The 18,394-nt window shown below is 38.2% G+C and overlaps 1 protein-coding gene across 5 annotated transcripts in view; it reads right to left on the bottom strand.

Annotated features, from left to right (window-relative positions):
• Positions 1 to 745: 745 nt before the first annotated feature.
• Positions 746 to 18,394, bottom strand: part of FAR2 (fatty acyl-CoA reductase 2) — a 186,339-nt gene continuing 168,690 nt past the window's right edge. For 4 of the 5 annotated variants that reach the window (NM_001271783.2, XM_011520747.3, NM_018099.5 and 1 more), the window contains 3 exons: positions 14,438 to 14,567; positions 3,635 to 3,762; positions 746 to 2,730 (listed from right to left, as the gene is read on the bottom strand). In NM_001271783.2, coding sequence (NP_001258712.1) covers positions 2,568 to 2,730; positions 3,635 to 3,762; positions 14,438 to 14,567 — 421 coding nt within the window. In that variant the 3' untranslated portion in view covers positions 746 to 2,567. Of the gene's footprint in view, positions 3,518 to 3,634; positions 3,763 to 14,437; positions 14,568 to 18,394 lie in introns of all 5 variants that reach the window. The other variant, XM_011520748.4, reaches the window with a different exon arrangement.

The raw sequence follows: 18,394 nt of genomic DNA, 5'->3' as shown, positions 1-18,394 counted from the left end.
GAAACTAGGCTGATCTACTTTAATTGTTTATGTTTATTGTAAGATAACATGCTCTTTGGGCATTATTAGACCAGTCTCTACCTTGAGATACTAAGTTAATTACATGAGGTGTTAAATGGAAGTAATGATGTTAGTTGAAAATCGCAAGAAGTGTTTTTCTGAATTGTGTGCCCATTTGCCTTAACTTTTTCTAGTATTAGTTGCCTCAGGCCGTGACTCTTCAACTCTGTAATACTTGATACTGTATCAGGTATCTTGTGGGTAGAGAATATAGGGATTGCCAAAACTTTTGAAACATAGGTACCTTTTCTTTGTACTTTCCATCTTCTTTTCCCCTAAGTAGAAGGTTCTTTCCCATTGCTTTGTTTATATTAGGCATTCAAGTAATTGCTAATTGGTCTTGATGTGAAATAGTTATATGCTAGAGATTTCCCTTCATACAGATACCTGTTTTTACTGCCTAATCATCACAAGAGAACTTTGTGTCATTTATCTGATGCCACAAATAGAAGACTACTCATGTCAAAATAGCCGTATTAATGGTGTTAGAAAAAGTGAAGCATTATGTAGCTAAAGGTTAATTTATATTCATCTGATAGTTATTCCTGTGATGTGATTTGGTGGAAAGAGTTCTTTGGAAGTTATTTCCTTTTTCTGGGGGCTTGGGGGGTGGGGTGCAGGGGGTGTAAAGGAGGGAGAAGTGCTGCGGTAGTCAACGGTTAAAGACAACACTAGAAGAGGGGAATAATTTTAATTCAAATTTTTATTTAATCAAAAGTCAAAATGTGAATACTTGATTAGTGGAATTATTGAATTGGTAAAACATACAATCAAAAGTGAATTCTTAGAACTATTATTATGTCTTAATCCAATCCCACTGAGCTATATCTTGATTTCATATTTTTATCATGTCTATAGCTTGTATCTTAATTGATATAACTCAAAAGTACCATATAGACATCTCAAACTAAAGATCACCAGGTGCTTAGTTTCAGAGCTGGGTTGTCTGCTATGGAAAATATTTCCCAGAATTTAGATGAGATTGGGAAAGATATTGCCCAGAAGAGTTCCTCCAAAATGCCCTTTATATAGAGCTCAGGAGAATCTGGAATAATACTGGGCTAGATACTGCCCTAAGGCCTTGTACACTTAAACTACCACGATGTGCCTTTCTGAATATTACCCAATTACTCCAGGAAGTGAGCATAAATATAACTGCCATTCTTTATTAACATTTTATGCCTATGCCATTTTCAACTAGTTATGCGGTGACTAATTTTAGTTGTTTAGGCCCCAAGTACTATATTTGAATAATATTCCATGTTTTTAACATGAAGAAATGCTGCAATCCAACATGTACTCATCTCTCAAATATGAGGAAAGTTGGTGTAACAGTTACATTATTATTACTATAGGAATTGGAGAATATGTATAGTTTTCATTAGTTTGTATTATACACAAAATTTTTTAAGAAAACAAAACCTATTTTCTAAACTTAGAATCCCTTAGTGAAGTCTATTCACTTTTCTGCTGTGTGTTGTACAGTTAACATTGTGCAATTGGAATGACCAAGATACTAGTAAATCCTTTGGTGATCACATAAGTGTAATCTTCCCCACTTTATACCAGAAGACTAAAGCTACAGTTTAAAAGTTCATTTGAAGTTTTGTTTTGCTCAGTGGCAAAGATCAAATGGGACCATCCCTCTCCCTGTTGACCACTCTAATTGAGTCCTGAGTGGAAAAAGCTTAAATATAAAGGGTTTGGCAACTTTTAGAAGAAGGAGACTCTTGAAAGAAGGTTACCAGGAAAATTGAGGATTAAAAAGATTTAGAAATAATAGCTATCAAATTCGAATTTGAGAATATTAATTTTGACTTAAAAGCATAATACACGAGTCCCCAATGCAAATATGCTTAATCCCTCACTCTATACATACTTATTTACACTTCTTGTTCCTTTTTAAGAAGTGAATGTAGTTAAGAAAAATGTTAAATGTAAACCTACTTTTCTGATTCCCCCACCCCTCAACCAGGACTCCAGGGTATAACATAGAAAGAAAGAGAGACATTTTCAGTGGGGAATTACTTCTCTTACTGCATTTTTGAGGATATTGAGACCATTCTCCTTTTACTCATCTTGATTTTAAATTTTTCTTTTGGGTACCCAGAATGGTTCCAAGGTTAGTACTGCTTGAGCTCATTTCAGCTTCTGCCATGCATCTTTCCATATTTACTGAGTTTAAATGAATCATCTCAGAGAGAAAAGAAAAACTAAATATAGAAAAGTGGGAGTACTTTCACGTTTAATACGCAAGGGCATAAAATAGAATGTTAGGAAACAATTTGGATTTTTTTCCCTAAAATATAGGTGACTATGGGCTAGTTTACAACTTTCCTTCTCTCACTGAAATAAAAATACATAGTTAAGGAATAGGGACGAATACATAACAGGTGACATTTGACAGTTTGGGCATATTCCTTGTTACTTTCTAATCTTGAGAATCACAGTTTGCTGTTTTAGAGGTATCTGAGAGGTTCCAGATAAAAAGCGATGGCTAAATGCTCTTAAACTTTGAGCGTGCTGGATGCTCTAAAGTAGGAGAGGAATTTATAACAGAAGCTTACAATGAAGAACCAGACATTCCGAGCCATCTGAGATCTTGCAATGAGAAGGCGCCAGGCGATAAGGAAGAGGGCAGTATTAAAGAGGTAGTGAATATTTCGGAGCCTAGGGAACAGACAGACATAACCAAAGTTAAAACTACCAGATACCCAACCACATTATCTGAAGATAAATATGTGTTTTCCTGGATATGACTGGCAAGTATTTATGAAGTGCTCAGAGTATTTGATATAACTTGGCCAATTGGTTTCTGCGTCTTTCATTTCCACAGCATTCTTGCTGAATAGTCAGATTTCTACCATATTTCCCTAATTTCTCTTATACCTCTCTCCACTTGAAACTATTTACAAGCATGACTAGCATAATCTTGTAAATATACTTTGGTCATGTTACCACATCATAAATCTTCACTGGTTCTTGTTCATTAGAAGGTAAATTCTAAAGTTCTTGGCTTGCTATTCAAGGTTCCTCCTTCCTGTTTTGCAAGCTACTTTTTTATCCTTATCATCTCTGCACTACAGATCCTCTGCTTCTACCAGGATTATACCAGAGTGCTAGAATTCCTTGTCCCTCAGGGATTACGACTGAAAGAAATTTAAGAAAGTTGAAAAAATTGAGGAGTGACTTTTTTCTAGGTTAAATAGCATAATCAGGTCTCCTGCCTGTTGGGTATTTATATCCCATTATGACAGAGTGTGGTAGAAGAAACAAATTTGGGTTCAAATCTGGCTCTTAGACTTACTATGCAATTACCATGGGCAAGTTATTTGCTGTGTTTAAATCTAGATATCTGCCTCATAAAAATGGGGTAACAAAAGTAATACTTGCCTCATAGAGGTGTGGTGAAGTCTAAATGAAACTGTGTTACAGGGTAGAGTATGGAGTGCAGGACCTGTAATGTAGTAAATGCTCAAGAAATGTTCATTCTCCTCTGCACAAATGTTATGTCTGGTATAAAGTCGATGCACAGTAGGTGCTCAATAAATATTAACTGACTGATTATACTTACCTTTTTAAGCGTTGCTTTGCTTTTGGGATCCCAGCCATATCCTCTTTCAATAAGTATTTTTTAACTCCCAAAACATAATTTTCAATGTATTCCAACCAGTTCAACTGGCGCACGTCAAAGTTGAATACCTGAGAGGCAAGAGAGATTATAGATTGCCAGAATTGCAGTGCTGGACAGTCACTTTGTCCACTTGAGGTTTCTTCTACATAGACGAGTGACCTTCAATTTGGGAGACATAGGTTGGACCCTCTCCAAAGGAGAGATTATTTGAGTCATTATTTCAAAGGTACTGATAATATGGATTACTATTTACATAGGAATATTTAAACATGGATCAAACACAAACACTTCACATTTCTTGTGAGGGAGATTTAAAGGAAATAGTATTACATAGTCTGGTGAAAACTTATGGTTGGCTTGGTATATATTTCAGCTAACCGAGGAGTAATTATTTTTAAAAGTGATAGAATAATATGTTAGTGACCAAAACATAAATGATGCAACTTTCCCTTTCCTCTTAAATTTTGGTGTTATCCCTTTGTTCTACCATCCTTTCCTACAGCATTACCATTTCATTATGCAGATTAAACTTTGGGAAGCAAAGCCTTAAGGAATAAGTTACCAGAATTTATATTTAAGAAGAGAGTGATTGGTAGTGAAAGAAAAAAGGAGTGATCACAACATGGGGGAGGAGTAGGGAAGAAGGAGAAGGAAGAGATTGATCTGTTTAGGGAGAGAAGTTGTGCCACATAGAAGACAGATACAGAGAGTGACAATAAAGAAAAATGATTAAAAAATTTTTAAGGTATCTTTGAGGAAGAGAAAAGAAAAACACTTGCATAACCAAAAATGTATTCTTTTTTTGGTTTGTTATGGAAAAGCTGGAGTAAAGATTTGAATTGCATTCCATAGATTTTATTTTTTGTGTACTTTGAAAATGATGCTGAGCTGACACAGGATCAGGAGGTGGCCCAGATTTATATGGATTACAAATGGAGATAGGATGAGTTAGGAAGAGAAACCTGATAGGTCATTCTTGAGCCATCCAGGGATCTTTTCAAAATCTCCATATAAAGGGCCTAATTGGAGAAAGAAAGGGAGGGAAATGATCTTCAAATATATTAGAAAAAATAGTTTTGATTGAATATAAAGAACTTAGGGCACTAAAACTTGTTAGTAGAAAGAGTGTCAAGAAGATTCTGGTATCATCTCTGGAAATATTTCAAGTATTAGGTATTCTTGGAGAGTTTGGTATGACCCTGTTATCAAATAAAAGATTGCATCAGTGAGTGGATTTGGTTCAATAGAGTTTTATTTCATGTATTTGGAGAGAATGGCCTGGAAAATGGACTTGTGCTAGCATTTAAAAAGTCTAATATTTATAAATCTTAGCAAGTGGAGGGTGTGTTTAAGGTGCTTTTGTCCTTCCAATTGGGCACTCTTCTCTCTCCTTGGACATACAGCACTCTCAGATCACTTTTTGTCTATTCATCCCTGGACATTAAAAAAAAAAAAAAGCCTATCTTTAGTGGAGAGTTTCACGTACAGTGAAAGAAAGTTGCTCGTTACTCTTAACTTACTTAACTTCTGGTGAGGCCTCACTAGGAAGGACTTTAATAGCTAAAATGGCTTAATTCAAATAAATGATATTCCTAGAACAACAAGAATGATGTTCCTTTGAATGGCACAAAGTAGACATTCAATAAATACTTGCTATTAATGAATTATAGAATTTAGGTCAAATTAATTTAAATATTAATTTTGAACACCAAAAGTGTTTCTTTTTTGTTACACAACAATTTATTCTATTTAGTCTGTATATAAGCTTTACATGAATATGACCAAAGTAAACTCTTAGTTTCCTTTTTTCAGACAATCAGTCTTTGATCGAGGCTTAGATGGTACCAAATAAAAGGCATATATTATCAAAACCAAAAAGCCAATCACCACTAAAGGTCAAGTTTGTTAACTTTAAAATGGCTACACGATTTTCTGAGAATCTCTTGGGTTTAATTCATAAATTGCATCTTTCCTCCAGAGTCTATATTTAGCTCTTTTTCTCTTCAGGAAATATTACACTTCTAAAGAATGTAATTGAATTTGACATCTTAAAGATTTAGTAGTTCTCTAAGGCTACTCGATTCTTTCTCCTTTATATGCAAATTAAATGTTATATTTTAATCACAGAAAACCATCTTAGAACTCGGAGGAAAGTAACTAAATATTATTATCCCTATTTAACATTCTAGGCATTCAGTAAACATTTAATAATGAGCCCTTTGCTGATTCATTGTGCATATTGCTTTTGCTTTATCCTCTCAACTTGCATGGAGAAACATGACAAGAAATAACTTTTTAAAAATCATAAATGGGCCAGGCGTGGTGGCTCATGCCTGTAATCTCAACACTTTGGGAGGTCGAGGCGGGCAGATCACCTGAGGTCAGGAGTTCAAGACCCGCCTGACCAATATCGTGATACCCCGTCTGTACTAAAAATACAAAAATTAGCCAGGCGTCGTGGCATGCGCCTGTAGTCGCAGCTACTTGGGAGGTTGAGACAGGAGACGCGCTTGAACCCGGGAGGCGGAGGTTGCAGTGAGCCAAGATCTTGCCACTGCACTCCAGCCTGGGCAACAGAGCAAGACATGGTCTCAAAAAAAAAAAAAAAAAAGTCATAAATGTATTTGCTTTAGATAACTTTTTCTAATTCATTCTTCCTTTTGAACAACGAGTCCTATGAAACTATATTTTCCTTTTCACTTTACTACCAGAAAGCTCAAGAACAAATTCACTGCTTAAATTAACTACAGCAACTTAGTAGGATCTTGTAGATTATGTATGGGCATTCTCTTTTTAAATTTTTAGCTGTGACTTCATATTCTGATTCATATTTTCCTTGGTTTTGCATTTTATTTTATTTCTATTTTGTTCTTTCATTATATGTATTTTTTTGCAAGATACCTCAAACCTTTGTGAGATTTGGAGTATTAATAAAGAGAGCAGATGCGATTGTTCCAGAGAGCTTCAAAGACTTGTCCAAAAGCTGAATTGCTTTTTGAAAGAAATTCCATTATCACTTTGATTGGATATGGTTTTCATAGTATCATTAATATTGCTTAGTCATTCATATAAGCAGAGGCTTTTATTTTTATAGTGTTTAACATTTCTAAGTTTGATTTCAAAGTGGCCCTGTTCAGAATCCTGATTCCATATGGCAATTCAAACTGAATTTTGAGCCACACCAGAATTTGGTAATTACATTTAGTACTATTACTTTTGCTAAGATATTTTTGAGAGCATATGTTAAATCCACTGAAGCTTTGATTCTTTTTCATAAAATTTTGAAAGGTTAAAATAGTAAAATGTCAGAAATGAAACCAAGCTCATTACCTTTTGAGTTATTTCGGCAGGAAAATTCCATGGAGAAAATACATAAGGATAAGCCTACATAGAGTTTAAAGCTAAATTTTAAAAGAACTTACAATAGCTTGAATTTGTTGATTTGTTTTTGATTTATAAACTGGCTTAATCATCATTTCAAACACTAGTTTGAAGAATTTTGTCTATATGTGATATGTAAACATTTCTGAATAACTATTTCATGTCACTTTGAGAGGGAGCAATGATTTCAGATAAAATATCCCTCTAAATCTTGCCTTTTGTGCCTAATATAATATTTATTGTATTTGACATGGATAATGCTTAGGAAATAATTCTAGGGCTTGGATTTGAATCACACTCAGTAAGTTTGGTATGTAGAAGTGAAACCCTTAGCTGGCAAGCAAGGTCAGTTAGCCATCTGATATATTGTTTTTTTTTCTTTTTTTTAATTATTATTATATTTTAAGTTTTAGGATACGTGTGCATAACGTGCAGGCTTGTTACATATGTATACATGTGCCATGTTGGTGTGCTGCACGCATTAACTCGTCATTTAGCATTACGTATATCTCCTAATGCTATCCCTCCCCCCTCCCCCCACTCCACAACAGGCCCCGGTGTGTGATGTTCCCCTTCCTGTGTCCATGTGTTCTCATTGTTCAATTCCCACCTATGAGTGAGAACATGCGGTGTTTGGTTTTTTGTCCTTGCGATAGTTTGCTGAGAATGATGGTTTCCAGCTTCATCCATGTCCCTACAAAGGACATGAACTCATTTTTTATGGTTGCATAGTATTCCATGGTGTATATGTGCCACATTTTCTTTATCCAGTCCATCATTGTTGGACATTTGGGTTGGTTCCAAGTCTTTGCCATTGTGACTAGTGCCACAATAAACATATGTCTTTATAGCAGCATGATTTATAATCCTTTGGGTATATACCCAGTAATGGGATGGCTGGGTCAAATGGTATTTCTAGCTCTAGATCCCTGAGGAATCGCCACACCAACTTCCACAATGGTTGAACTAGTTTACAGTCCCACCAACAGTGTAAAAGTGTTCCTATTTCTCCACATCCTCTCCAGCATCTGTTGTTTCCTGACTTTTTAATGATTGCCATTCTAACTGGTGTGAGATGGTATCTCATTGTGGTTTTGATTTGCATTTCTCTGATGGCCAGTGATGATGAGCATTTTTTCATGTGTTTTTTGGCTGCATAAATGTCTTCTTTTGAGAAGTGTCTGTTCATATCCTTAGCCCACTTTTTGATGGGGTTGTTTGTTTTTTTCTTGTAAATTTGTTTGAGTTCATTGTAGATTCTGGATATTAGCCCTTTGTCAGATGAGTAGGTTGCAAAAATTTTCTCCCATTCTGTAGGTTGCCTGTTTACTCTGATGGTGGTTTCTTTTGCTGTGCAGAAGCTCTTTAGTTTAATTAGATCCCATTTGTCAATTTTGGCTTTTGTTGCCATTGCTTTTGGTGTTTTAGACATGAAGTCCTTCCCCATGCCTGTGTCCTGAATGGTATTGCCTAGGTTTTCTTCTAGGGTTTTTATGGTTTTAGGTCTAACGTGTAAGTCTTTAATCCATCTTGAATTGATTTTTGTATAAGGTGTAAGGAAGGGATCCAGTTTCAGCTTTCTCCATATGGCTAGCCAGTTTTCCCAGCACCATTTATTAAATAGGGAATCCTTTCCCCATTTCTTGTTTTTGTCAGGTTTGTCAAAGATCAGATAGTTGTAGATATGCAGCATTGTTTCTGAGGGCTCTGTTCTGTTCCATTGGTCTCTATCTCTGTTTTGGTGCCAGTACCATGCTGTTTTGGTTACTGTAGCCTTGTAGTATAGTTTGAAGTCAGGTAGCCTGATGCCTCCAGTTTTGTTCTTTTGGTTTAGGATTGACTTGGCAATGCGGGCTCTTTTTTGGTTCCATATGAACTTTAAAGTAGTTTTTTCCAATTCTGTGAAGAAAGTCTTTGGTAGCTTGATGGGGATGGCATTGAATCTATAAATTACCTTGGGCAGTATGGCCATTTTCACGATATTGATTCTTCCTACCCATGAGCATGGAATGTTCTTCCATTTGTTTGTATCTTCTTTTATTTCATTGAGCAGTGGTTTGTAGTTTTCCTTGAAGAGGTCCTTCATATCCCTTGTAAGTTGGATTCCTAGGTATTTTATTCTCTTTGTAGCAATTATGAATGGGTGTTTACTCATGATTTGGCTCTCCATTTGTCTGTCATTGGTGTATAGGTATACTTGTGATTTTTGCACATTGAGTTTTTATCCTGAGACTTTGCTGAAGTTGCTTATCAGCTTAAGGAGATTTTGGGCTGAGATGATGGGGTTTTCTAGATAAACAATCATGTCATCTGCAAACAGGGACAATTTGACTTCCTCTTTTCCTAATTGAATGCCCTTTATTTCCTTCTCCTGCCTGATTGCCCTGGCCAGAACTTCCAACACTATGTTGAATAGGAGTGGTGAGAGAGGGCATCCCTGTCTTGTGCCAGTTTTCAAAGGGAATGCTTCCAGTTTTTGTCCATTCAGTATGATATTGGCTGTGGGTTTTTCATAGATAGCTCTTATTATTTTGAGATACGTCCCATCAATACCTAATTTATTGAGAGTTTTTAGCATGAAGTGTTGTTGAATTTTGTCAAAGGCCTTTTCTCCGTCTATTGAGCTAATCATGTGGTTTATGTCTTTGGTTCAGTTTATATGCAGGATTACGTTTATTGATTTTCATATGTTGAACCAGCCTTGCATCCCAGGGATGAAGCCCACTTGATCATGGTGGATAAGCTTTTTGATGTGTTGCTGGATTTGGTTTGCCAGTATTTTATTGAGGATTTTTGCATCAATGTTCATCAAGGATATTGGTCTAAAATTCTCTTTTTTTGTTGTGTCTCTGCCAGGCTTTGGTATCAGGATGATGCTGGCCTCATAAAATGAGTTAGGGAGGATTCCCTCTTTTTCTATTGATTGGAATAGTTTCAGAAGGAATGGTACCAGGTCCTCCTCGTAACTCTGGTAGAATTCGGCTGTGAATCCATCTGGTCCTGGACTTTTTTTGGTTGGTAAGCTATTAATTATTGCCTCAATTTCAGAGCCTGTTATTGGTCTATTCAGAGATTCAGCTTCTTCCTGGTTTAGTCTTGGGAGGGTGTATGTGTCGAGGAATTTATCCATTTCTTCTAGATTTTCTAGTTTATTTGCATAGAGGTGTTTATAGTATTCTCTGATGGTAGTTTGTATTTCTGTGGGATCGGTGGTGATATCCCCTTTGTCATTTTTTATTGCGTCTATTTGATTCTTCTCTCTTTTCTTCTTTATTAGTCTTGCTAGCAGTCTATCAATTTTGTTGATCTTTTCAAAAAACCAGCTCCTGGATTCACTGATTTTTTGAAGGGTTTTTTTGGGTCTCTATTTCCTTCAGTTCTGCTCTGCTCTTAGTTGTTTCTTGCCTTCTGCTAGCTTTTGAATGTGTTTGCTCTTGCTTCTCTAGTTCTTTTAATTGTGATGTTAGGGTGTCAATTTTAGATCTTTCTTGCTTTCTCTTGTGGGCATTTAGTGCTATAAATTTCCCTCTACACACTGCTTTGAATGTGTCCCAGAAATTCTGGTATGTTGTGTCTTTGTTCTCGTTGGTTTCAAAGAATGTCTTTATTTCTGCCTTCATTTCGTTATGTACCCAGTAGTCACTGAGGAGCAGGTTGTTCAGTTCCCATGTAGTTGAGTGGTTTTGAGTGAGTTTCCTAATCCTGAGTTCTAGTTTGATTGCACTATGGTCTGAGAGACAGTTCATTATAATTTCTGTTCTTTTACATTTGCTGAGGAGTGTTTTACTTCCAACTATGTGGTCAATTTTGGAATAGGTGTGGTGTGGTGCTGGAAATAATGTATATTCTGTTGATTTGGGGTGGAGAGTTCTGTAGATGTCTATTAGGTCTGCTTGGTGCAGAGCTGAGTTCAATTCCTGGATATCCTTGTTAACTTTCTGTGTCATTGATCTGTCTAATGTTGACAGTGGGGTGTTAAAGTCCCCCATTATTATTGTATGGGAGTCTAAGTCTCTTTGTAGGTCACTAAGGGCTTGCTTTATGAATCTGGGTGCTCCTGTATTGGGTGCATATATATTTAGGATAGTTAGCTCTTCTTGCTGAATTGATCCCTTTACCATTATGTAATGGCCTTCTTTGTCTCTTTTGATCTTTGTTGGTTTAAAGTCTGTTTTATCAGAGACTAGGATTGCAACCCCTGCCTTTTTTTGTTTTCCATTTGCTTGGTAGATCTTCCTCCATCCCTTTATTTTGAGCCTATGTGTGTCTCTGCACATGAGATGGGTTTCCTGAATACAGCACACTGATGGTTCTTGACTCTTTATCCAATTTGCCAGTCTGTGCCTTTTAATTGGAGCATTTAGCCCATTTACATTTAAGGTTAGTATTGTTATGTGTGAATTTGAGCCTGTCATCATGATGTTAGCTGGTTATTTTGCTCGTTAGTTGATGCAGTTTCTTCCTAGCCTTGATGATCCTTACAATTTGGCATGTTTTTGCAGTGGCTGGTATCAGTTGTTCCTTTCCATGTTTAGTGCTTCCTTCAGGAGCTCTTTTAGGGCAGGCCTGGTGGTGACAAAATCTCTCAGCATTTGCTTGTCTGTAAAGTATTTTATTTCTCCTTCACTTATGAAGCTTAGTTTGGCTGGATATGAAATTCTGGGTTGAAAATTCTTTTCTTTAAGAATGTTGAATGTCGGCCCCCACTCTCTTCTGGCTTGTAGAGTTTCTGCCGAGAGATCATCTGTTAGTCTGATGGGCTTCCCTTTGTGGGTAACCCGACCTTTCTCTCTGGCTGCTCTTAACACTTTTTTCCTTCATTTCAACTTTGGTGAATCTGACAATTATGTGTTTTGGAGTTGCTCTTCTCGAGGAGTATCTTTGTGGCATTCTCTGTATTTCCTGAATTTGAATGTTGGCCTGCCTTGCTAGATTGGGGAAGTTCTCCTGGATAATACCCTGCAGAGTGTTTTCCATCTTGGTTCCATTCTCCCCGTCACTTTCAGGTACACCAATCAGACGTAGATTTGGTCTTTTCACATAGTCCCATATTTCTTGGAGGCTTTGGTCGTTTCTTTTTATTCTTTTTTCTCTAAACTTCTCTTCACGCTTCATTTCATTCATTTCGTCTTCCATCGCTGACACCCTTTCTTCCAGTTGATCGCATCGGTTACTGAGGCTTGTGCATTCGTCACGTAGTTCTCGAGCCTTGGCTTTCAGCTCCATCAGCTCCTTTAAGGACTTGTCTGCATTGGGTATTCTAGTTATCCATTCGTCTAATTTTTTTTTCAAAGTTTTTAACTTCTTTGCCATTGGTTCGAACTTCCTCCTTTAGCTCAGAGTAATTTGATCTTCTGAAGCCTTCCTCTCTCAACTCGTCAAAGTCATTCTCTGTCCAGCTTTGTTCCGTTGCCGGTGAGGAGCTGCGTTCCTTTGGAGGAAGAGAGGCACTCTGATTTTTAGCGTTTCCGGTTTTTCTACTCTGTTTTTTCCCCATCTTTGTGGTTTTATCTACCTTTGGTCTTTGATGATGGTGACATACAGATGGGTTTTTGGTGTGGATGTCCTTTCTGTTTGTTAGTTTTCCTTCTAACAGTCAGGACCCTCAGCTGCAGGTCTGTTGGAGTTTACTGGAGGTCCACTCCAGACCCTGTTTGCCTGGGTATCAGCAGCGGTGGCTGCAGAACAGCGGATATTGGTGAACCGTAAATTCTGCTGCCTGATCATTCCTCTGGAAGTTTTGTCTCAGAGGAGTACCTGGCCGTGTGATGTGTCAGTCCGCCCCTACTGGGGGGTGCCTCCCAGTTAGGCTACTTGGGGGTCAGGGACCCACTTGAGGAGGCAGTCTGCCCATTCTCAGATCTCAAGCTGCGTGCTGGAGGAACCACTACTCTCTTCAAAGCTGTCAGACAGGGACATTTAAGACTGCAGAGGTTATTGCTGTCTTTTGTTTGTCTGTGCCCTGCCCCCAGAGGTGGAGCCTACAGAGGCAGGCGGGCCTCCTTGATCTGTGGTGGGCTCCACCCAGTTTGAGCTTCCAGGCCGCTTTGTTTACCTACTCAGGCCTGAGCAATGGCGGGCGTGCCTCCCCCAGCCTCACTGCTGCCTTGCAGTTTGATCTCAGACTGCTGTGCTAGCAATGAGTGAGGCTCCATGGGCATAGGACCCTCCAAGCCATGTGCTCCCGCACATGGTGTGCCATTTGTTAAGCCCGTTGGAAGAGCGAATAGGAACAGCTCCAGTCTACAGCTACCAGCGTGAGCGACGCAGAAGACGGGTGATTTCTGCATTTCCAACTGAGGTACCGGGTTCATCTCACTGGGGAGTGCCGGACAGTGGGTGCAGGACAGTGGGTGAAGTGCACCGTGCGTGAGCCGAAGCAGGGCAAGGCGTCGCCTCACCCAGGAAGTGCAAGGGGTCAGGGAATTCCCTTTCCTAGTCAAAGAAAGGGGTGACAGATGACACCTGGAAAATACAGCCATCTGATATTTACTCCCCAGTGTGACTTGGTTTCTTCTACATGCTGTCAGGTACAAAATAAAACAAAAGATACATTTTAGAAAATTGTTTCTTAGTGGGAAATGTCAATCAATATGGAGTGAAAACCTTAAAATTTAGTTAAAAACGGGATACATGACTGAGAAAAAGGCTAGGAACATGTATAATATACAAAAGAATTTCAGAATATGCAAAGATTTTAGGACTTATCCTTTGTGACTGCCAAGAAGTTAAAGAAATAAGTGGTGCTGGTGCTAAGGAATTAAACTGAAGACCTGTCTTGAGAAATGAAAGTCTGAACTGTTGTAGAGAAATCCTATAGAGAGGGAGATCGACGATGCAGCACTGATGAAGGGAGGTCTGAGGTGAGGCAGAGTGCATAGGTGTAGGGATTAGCTTTAACAAGGTAAGGAAGGAACTGTAGCTGGGAGAGGCAGAACAATTTTGATTGGACAAGAATAGTGGATGATTGAGTTTATAAGCAATAAAATCATTATTTTTCATTGAAGTCATATGCTGTGGCAGATAAGGGAAGAACACAGCCACCCAGAGGTACTGAGGGTTTGTAGAAATGATAACTATCAAGGAGTGACAAAACGATTGAAGTGCAGTAGATAAAACATGTTGGCAGATCAGCAGTTAAAGATTTAACCAAAGTCCAAGAACCTACATTTCTTACTTACATTAAACTTGTTTCCTACGGTGGTGTTGATAGCATTGACTGATTTTCTTAGAAAAACAAAGCAAAACAAAATCTGTGTCTATAACCAAACGTCTTATTCATTCATCAGCTTTCCAAATCAAATAATTCTAAATTCCAAGTGAGTAGCATTTTCCTGGTGCTTAAGTCAGTGCTCTACTTACTCTCTGGTCTTCAGGACTCAGCTCAGACATCAGCATTTCTGTATTGTACGTGCTCCATTCCCAACTCCGGTTGATGAAATACTCCAACATGGAAACAGTTCTTAAAAGCCGATTCATGAGCTTTGTCATCCTGAGATAACCATCAGATAGGAGTAAATATCAGCGCACCACTTCCCTGTCACTCTACAGGGATGTATGAGAAATTATTTTTAAGAAAATACAAAAATTATCCCTGTCTACCACTCCTCATTAAAATTCTTCTTCTTTTTTCTCCTTCCACATTAACTCTCTATTCATTCAACAGAAAAAGAAAAGGGCTGGATCTAAAGGAGCTTGTTCTGTTAGGCATTTAATACCAGACTCCTTTTCTAACACCTATTTCTCAAGAATAGCAAACCTATTTTAAAAGTGAGCCAACTATTCAGCTTGAATGACATACTGTTCATTTTTTGAATTCTGATGTAGACAATTAGAAAACTTTCTCATCTTTCTTTTTGAGACAGGGTCTTACTCTGTCACCCAGGCTGGAGCGCAGTGGGGCCCAGCTAATTTTTTGTATATTTTGTAGATAGGGTTTTGCCATGTTGCCCAGGCTGGTCTTGAACTCCTGGGCTCAAGGGAGCCAGCTGCCTTGGCCTCCCAAAGTGTTGGGATTGCAGGCATGAGCCACTGCACCTGGCCTTATTTCTCATTTTTATTGTACTTTCTTGTATTTTAAGAAGTTGATAGGATCTGAGGTCTTAGTATGTAACTTTTGGGCAGAAGTGTTGACTGTATTAGTGTTTGTTGAATCAAAAGCAGTTGTCAATCATAGTGGAGATTAAAAAAAAAAAAAACTTCTTGTTGATAACCTATTCTGTGTTAGGCACAGTCCTGATACTTTCACAAAGTATTCTCTCTGCTAATTTTGATATCATCTTTGTTAGGTAAGTCTGCAGTTTTACAAATGAGTAACATAAGCTTAAGATAAAAAGTGTCAAAGTCAAATTCCAACCCAGTTTTAACTGACCTCAAAAAACCTGCGCTGTGTAATCTCACTACCCTGTGTCCCATTACACAAGATGAACCACACTGTCCAATCTTGTGGTCAGGACTTGGACCAGATCTTCTTTGTGCACCTCCCAACTTTATAACAATTTACAAAAAACTTTCATATACAATCTTACTTGATCCTAACAATATGGCTGTAAGATAGTCAGGATGTATATTATGTATCTCCATTTTACAGAGAGATTATGCTCAAGGTCCCATAGCTAATCCCCAACCTAGGTCTTTTAGCTACAAGTCACTTTTGGCCTGTAAAGCACTTGATTTGTAGTTAACCAGTCTTGGCAGTAGTGATTACTATAGTTGGCTCAGTAATTATGATGCTATTGTGGGGATTTGGTCTTACTTCTGGTCAAAGTTAATGCCCATGTACTTAATGACTCATGAGGTATTTCTCTTACTGTATCATAGGAAATTTCTTAGGCATGAGGTAGACATCATTGTGCCTGATATAAGCACCATAATAGGGTTCCACTTTACTATTATCTAAATCTTTAGTCATTCTCCAACTCTGATGCAATTGATATGATTTCAATACATTTATTTTAATTGTTAAAAATAACGGTTGGACATGATATCATTGGATGTACAGAACTATATCAACCTAATGATATGTTTTAGAAAATATACTTGTATTACTCCCAGATAGAGAAGGTCTTTATTGTTTGTCTGAGACAGGGTCTCGCTTTATTGCCCAGGCTGTAGTGCAGTGGCTCAATCATGACTCACTGCAGCCTTGACCTCCTGGGTTCAAGCAATCTTCTGCCTCAGACTCCTGAGTAGCTGGGACTACAGGCACATGCCACCATGCCTGGACAACGTTTTTAAATTTTATTTTTGTAGTGATGGGGTCTCACTATGTTGCCTAGTCTGGTCTTGAAGTCCTGGGCTTAAGTGATACTCCTTCCTCAGCCTCCAAAATTGCTGGGGTTACAGGTGTGAGCCACCACACCCAGCCAAGAAGGTCTTCTTAATACCCAAAATGCAAAAGCTGAAGGAAAACAATGATTGATTCATTTTACCACATAAAAATTTTAAACATCTTTAGTATTAATAGGGATTATTATATTCTAAGCACTCATATTAAACTATATAAAATAGGTTACGATTACTGTGCCCATTTTACAGAATAGGAAGTTAGGATTTAGAGAGATGAAGTAATTTAGGGCTCTAATGGCTAAATTGGTGAAGCCAGGATTTAAATCCTATAAGCCTGACTCCAAACTCCATGTTCCTAAGCCCTGCATTATATGTATCTTCACTCATATTACAAAAAGCTTTATAGTCAAAGCTAAAAAGAAACAGACCTGGAGAAAATATATGAAATATGTATTCACACACACATGTTCCCATACATTAATAAGGACAACCCAATAGGAAAATAGGGAGCAGAAGCAGGCAGCACACAGAGGGGAAAACTTAAATGTCCAATAAATGAATGAAAGTCCAGCCCCTCCAGCAATCATGAATGCAAATCAAAAAAACAAAAAGATGTCATTCCTTATGAGTTTGACAATTCAGAAGTTGATTTTTACAAAGTATTCTTACCCCCATTAAGAGGGTAAGACATACTGTTTTGTACCCCTTGGCCGGGCGCGGTGGCTCATGCCTGTAATCCCAGCACTTTGGGAGGCCGAGGCGGGTGACTTGCTTGAGGTCAGGAGTTCGAGACCAGCCTGGTCAAGATCGTGAAACCCCATCTCTGCTAAAAATACAAAAATTAGCCAGGCACAGTGGCGGGCGCCTGTAATCCCAGCTACTCGAGAGGCTGAGGCAGGAGAATCGCTTGAACCCAGGAGGCAGAGGTTGCAGTGCGCTGAGATCTCGCCACTGCACTCTAGCCTAGGTGACAAAGCAAGACTCCATCTCAAAAAAAAAAGAAAAAAGAAAAAGAAAAAAAAAAGACTTTTGTACCCTTCATACACTGTTGTGGTAGTGCCAATTGACAGTCTCTTCCTTAGGGAGGGTCACCTGGCACTAGTCACAAACTCCACATACTCTTCAATCCAGCAGTCTCCCTCCTCAGCATCCTCTCCTGACACAGGCACATTCTACAAAGAGGCATGCACACTGATATTCATTGCCCTATTTGCAGTAGAAAAAAAAGACAACACCGGGCAGAATGACTTAGATTTTCATGGAAAATTAGTGGAAAAAGTTGTAAAATATGTACAATTGATTTATATACACACATACCCCCCTACTGCAAAGCAAACTATGTACGTCCATATATGGATGTAAAAGCATAGGAGAGTATACACAAGCACACCTGGAGCAGGAAAGGGTCTAGAAGGATTTCAGCTTTTTCTGCCATAAAGATTATTGCTAAAATACATACCACACAACAAACCAACCCATTTCCCACAAATATTACTGTTTGACTTCTCACAAGATACATATAGATTTTTATTGTGTCTCTTCCTTCTGTGTTTCTCTTTTTTCCTAACTGAACTTTGTTCTTTATGCAGGCCCTCTTCCAATCCTGATATATTTTAAAACCTTTAGCATTTCTGCCTACAATATTTGGGTTTTCTTCTTTTCCTGTCTTTATTTAATAAGCCCCATACAAATATTTTCCCCATAATCACAATGTTTCCTTTTCACCTTGCTCAAGAACTGAGTTATGAGCTCCAAATGAGGTCTTTAAAAATTTAGATAAACTCTACATTGGCTAAGTTTTAGTCATTTGCACTGCTAATAAAGATGACAAACACGCTGAAGAAGACTTCCTCCCTTATAAAGGGGCTAGCACAGAAGGCAATACTGTTCATACTTCTGATTCTTGATCACGAGAATTGCCTTAGGCAATTATAACAATGACTCCTCTGACACATAATATTATTCAAGCGAGACAGATAAAGGCGTATGTCCTGTGTCACACAGCTAGGTGGTGACAGCTGCCTTAGCATC

Source organism: Homo sapiens, chromosome 12, assembly GCF_000001405.40.
Source record: "Homo sapiens chromosome 12, GRCh38.p14 Primary Assembly".
NCBI lineage: Eukaryota > Metazoa > Chordata > Mammalia > Primates > Hominidae > Homo > Homo sapiens.
The sequence above is the reverse complement of the archived record's forward strand: the minus strand, read 5'-3'. Positions and strand labels throughout refer to the sequence as shown.